The 4,705-nt window shown below is 45.4% G+C and overlaps 1 annotated feature.

The window, feature by feature from the left end:
* Nucleotides 361-1,560: an enhancer, noted in NCBI's record as "P300/CBP strongly-dependent group 1 enhancer chr5:4584395-4585594 (GRCh37/hg19 assembly coordinates)". NCBI's record gives its function as "activates an origin of replication core promoter dependent on BRD2, BRD4, P300/CBP, MED14 and CDK7 cofactors, with strong dependence on P300/CBP, by STARR-seq in HCT116 cells {active_cell/tissue: HCT116}" and the evidence as "EXISTENCE:reporter gene assay evidence [ECO:0000049][PMID:35650434]".

The raw sequence follows: 4,705 nt of genomic DNA, 5'->3' as shown, positions 1-4,705 counted from the left end.
GTATACATAATATGTTTATGTGTGTGTGTTCATACATGCACACCCACCCACCCACACACCCCCCTCCCACACACACATATATGGAGAGAGACAGAAAGACAAGACAAAGAGAAATTTTAAAGAACTGGCTTATACTATAGTGGGGATGATAAGACTAAATACTGCTGCAAAGTAGGCCCACAGGCTGGAGACCCATGGAAGAATTTCAGTTTAAAGTCCAAAGGTTGTGGCTGAATTCCTTCTTCTTCTGGGGGCAAGCAGTCTTTCCATTAAGGCCGCCACTGCTGGGGCGAGGCCCATCCATATGAAGGTGGGTCATCTGCTTTCCTGAAAGTCTACTGAGTTAAAGATTTATCTCATCTAAAACATACCTTCACAGCAGCATCTACAACAATGACTGACCAAACGTCTGGGAACTATGGCCTAGTCAGGTTGACACATAGAGTGAACCCCCATGACCTACATGCTGAAACGAGGCCTCCTCTCCCTCTGGAGCTCTGTAGCTGAGCTGCCCTCACTGCACCTAACCCCTGTCCCTCACTCTGGAGTCTGACTTGGCTGCCCCGTCCACCTCCACAGATGGCCAGCCCCTCCTTGTGTCAGGCTCCTTCTGAGCTGCACGGCAACGTGGCTGAACGCCCACTATATGACTCACCTGCTGTCATCAATGGAAATGTAAGACGTGATTCATGTTTTCTTCACCCTGGAATTTGGAGAGGATTCTCGTGTTGTGATAGCAAACGCCCTCATGGAGCAGCAGACTGGCCAAGTCTTGAGAGTTTTGGAGAAGTGAGGGAGTATCTGAGAATTAGTCACCTTAACTTTTACTTCAGGTCTTTTTAAATTTATATTTTCAGGATTGGTTTGTCTACCTTTTCTTGTACACATTTTGTAAGATGTTTACAATGGTAGATTCTAACTGTTCTTCCACCTTCATACTTGGGGTCCTAGGCTTGGAGCAAAGAGCTTGGCATCAGTTGCAGCTGCACCCTTCCTCAGCTCCCGTCCGAGCATGTGGCTTAACCCTCCAAGTCCCCCTCCTGACAGGATGCAGTATGAAGGCAAAGGGCTAGCAGGCTCCGCACACTTCACAGGACCCTGCTTGGTGCTGACCTGATCCAAGTCTCGGGAGGATTTTGTGGTTGTCCCGTGGTACCCACCTGTGAAAGAAAAATAAATCCTGGGACCCCAAACTCACTAAGCCCAAGGAAAAAGTCAAGCTGGAAACTGGGTCACACAAACCTGCCTCCCATTTGGTTCCTAAATAAGATAGTTACAAAGTTAAAAAGCTACATATCTCCCTCCCAACTTGCCCACCAGGAAATTCCTTGTGGGCCCCAAAATCTTTACTCTAAAACAATTCTGTGACGTTTCTCCAGGCAATGTAAATGGATAGATCCTCTTCACAGGTGCAGGGCAAAGGACGGGACTCAAAGGCATCCCTCTGCTCACCTGAGCCAAATGCATGTCTGATGGCTTCCTCTGACCTATTGTTTACATTGTCTCATGTAAAAATGCAGATTCACTGGGCCGGACCAAGACATATGTGACTATTCCTCTACCCCTCCCTCACATGAAAATTGTATATTCAGTGAAAGGCTGACCAAAGACTCAAAAGGATATAACTGTTTTTCTCTTATCTACCCACACATTTTAAACATTTCTTCCTCTTCCTCCAATATCTGCCCTTTCCCCTTTAAATATTGAAGCTTTCAAAATCATCTTTGGAGAAAGGCATAGACCCATCTCCCAGCTGTGGAAGCTTAACTTTGGCAAATAAACCTCCTAAAATGATTGAGATTTGCCTCGGTCATTCTCTTTGATTTACTTGCCTCACAGATGTTTCCTGAGGATGCCAGGAGAAATATAAAAACGCATGGCCTTTATGCCTGGCATATTATAATGATTTTATAAATTATATCTACTTATAAACCTATAACTATGGACTGTGCCCAACGGTAAATTGTTAGAAAATTAAGGAAGGTTTTTAATATGTACAAAGAGAGGTGTCATATGTTTTTCATGAAGACAACTTAGAAAGTTTATTTATATCAAATATGAATTTGTGTCTTGATATTCCTTAAAATAGTTCCCCAAAGGGAAGAAATATTTGATAATTGCTCCTTTATATGGGAGATCCATTTCTTGACCCAATCAGGAAATGCAGTATGGCCATTGGTCTTTGAGGCCAGGAAGACAAAGGTGATCATTCTTTGCCTGTGTTTCTCTACCATGCAACTCAGAGCCAGGAAACAATATACGTATTTAGAATACAATAAAACAAAACATATTCCCTGAATGAAGACTAGCAAGTGTACGTGTAATGCCGACATGTGTTCATAGAAGCATCTGCCCTCATCTTTAGGAAATCACCCTTTATCTCATGAGCTCCTGCTTGGTGTTCACAGGGGCTCAGCGTTTTGTGCTGTTATTGGCTTTGTGTTTTAATCGCGCATAGCAGGAATAAACATGGACCATTCTAATGGCAATTTCAAAGCTCCAGCTCCATATTCCGAAAACTCCTACGGCACATTTGAATTAATGGTTTCTGTCTTGAGGAGAAAAGCAACTAGAAAGTCCTTCTGTGGCTTAATTAAGACCTTCTCTCATTTAAAGTACAGACTCTTTTTAAAATGGTGACTATTTCGCCTACGCTCTCCAAAATTTACAAATAAGCAAAGAGGTTGTTCACTGTGCACTCCCTTCTCTACGCATAAACATGTCTTTCAAACAGATGATAGGGAGGAAGATTGCTGGAAGCTGTTTCTTGTGGAAGGTACTTCATTGTAGAAATTTGTATTTTAATAGAAAGTGTCAACACTCATATTCTCTGCCTTCTAACTGGAAAATTTGGGTCAGGGCACCTGTGTGACAAACGTGCATCGCTGCTGAGTCCTGTGCCCCCGGTTTTATCCACAGAATATTCTAACTCTCTCCTTATATCTAGTACATTTGGGAGCATGTGTTGTTGAAATTCTCAAGAATGATTCTAATGCTTAGCAGAAAGGAATGGGCGATGGGAGTTGGTATGGAGTCAGCACACTGTTTGAAAATTCCGGGAGCTGGCCCTGGGATCTTTGAAATGAGCCCCGTATGATGGACGTGGACACTCAGACTGAGAGTCTTCAGACGCACGGTGCAGATGGTACTCTCCTGTGAATCTGGATGAGAAACTCAGCACCTCTGTGCCCTACCCCATGTTTATATAAGAGACTTTGAGTTAGACAATCTCTAATGTTCCTGATTATTTTAGTCTCTGGTTCTAGGATAAATCAATTCCAACTGCTGCAGAAAATTTATGTCAAGAAGTCTTGTGCATTCCTTTTTTTTTTTTTTTTCAGTGCCATGTTACTCTGGTTCTAAGGCGAGTGAGGATGTGCTTGATGGCCTCAGTCCTGGGTTCTTATACTGCATGTACCAGTTACTAGCAGGGTTAGTGATAGCAAGTTCCTTACTCTTGGTGCCTCAGTTTCCTCGTGGAAAACTGAAGCTGTCCTGGGACCTGCCTTCTGTGGAGGCTGGGAGACAAGGAAGCCATCTGCAGTGGTCACTGTGGTTCATTTGCTGCCAGCCCCTAAACCGCAGGAGAACCCATCTCACGTCGGAAACCTTCTCATGCCTCAGCTGACTGATGTTCCGTCTGGGCTCGGCCTGTTGAGTGCAGGAGAAGCTCCCCTGTGTTTTGACACCGCTACACTCTTCTTATCACTGGAACAAATCAGATCCCAGTCGTCGGTGTGCAGAGCTGTTTTTCCTTTAATCAAATTCACTTTCAATTACATTCTGTCTTGACAGTTTGAAAGCTAACTACCAAACCAGAAAGTAGTTTTGGAATTAATGGGAAGTAAGAAGTTGTGTCAGCTTGGGAAGGTGTGATGATTTATGAATGCAGAGCTGCTCAAAGGGCAGGAACTCCAAGTTCCTCCTTAAAGACTGTCCTTATGACACCTCCGGTCACCAGAAACAGTGATCACTTTTTAATCACCAGCAGGTTTCCTGTTGTTGAACTTGATTCAACTTTGATTTTTATTCACTGAAGGTCAAATTAGGGCCCTGTAGGAGAATGGGGGATAGATTAGGACAGCACATGACCGTGATCTGGAGTTTGCAGGTCGCTCACGTGTGTGTTCTCTTCTCTGCTTGGCATCTGAAGAGCAGTGCGGGGAGACGGGTTCCATAATGATGCCCCACAATTAAAGCACTCAGTTAATTGACAGCCACTCAGCCTCCCATGACAAATGGCCTCGGGCACACCTCAGTGTTCAGAGCCCTTTTGTAACCCTTGTTTAGCAGACAGAGGCAGGATGAGAACTGAGGAGCCCACAGAGGTCAGGGCACTGGGCCTGTGTCCCTCAGAGTTCACGAAGCTGCCTCTGTGCGTGTGGGCGTGGACTTGAGAGTGAGCCGTGCTGCAAACATGTGCCTGTCCACGTGTGTGTGCGTGTGCAAGAGCGTCGCTGTGCGTGTGCCTGTCCACATGTATGTATGTGCTCTCCAAGAGCGTCGCTGTGTGTGTGCCTGTCCACGTGTGTGTGTGTGCAAGAGTGTCGCTGTGCATGTGCCTGTCCACGTGTGTGTGCGTGTGCAAGAGCGTCACTGTGCGTGTGCCTGTCCACATGTATGTGTGCTCTCCAAGAGCGTCGCTGTGTGTGTGCCTGTCCACGTGTGTGTCCGCGTGTGCAAGATGTCGCTGTGCGTGTGTCTG

Source organism: Homo sapiens, chromosome 5 (assembly GCF_000001405.40).
Source record: "Homo sapiens chromosome 5, GRCh38.p14 Primary Assembly".
NCBI lineage: Eukaryota > Metazoa > Chordata > Mammalia > Primates > Hominidae > Homo > Homo sapiens.
The sequence above is the reverse complement of the archived record's forward strand: the minus strand, read 5'-3'. Positions and strand labels throughout refer to the sequence as shown.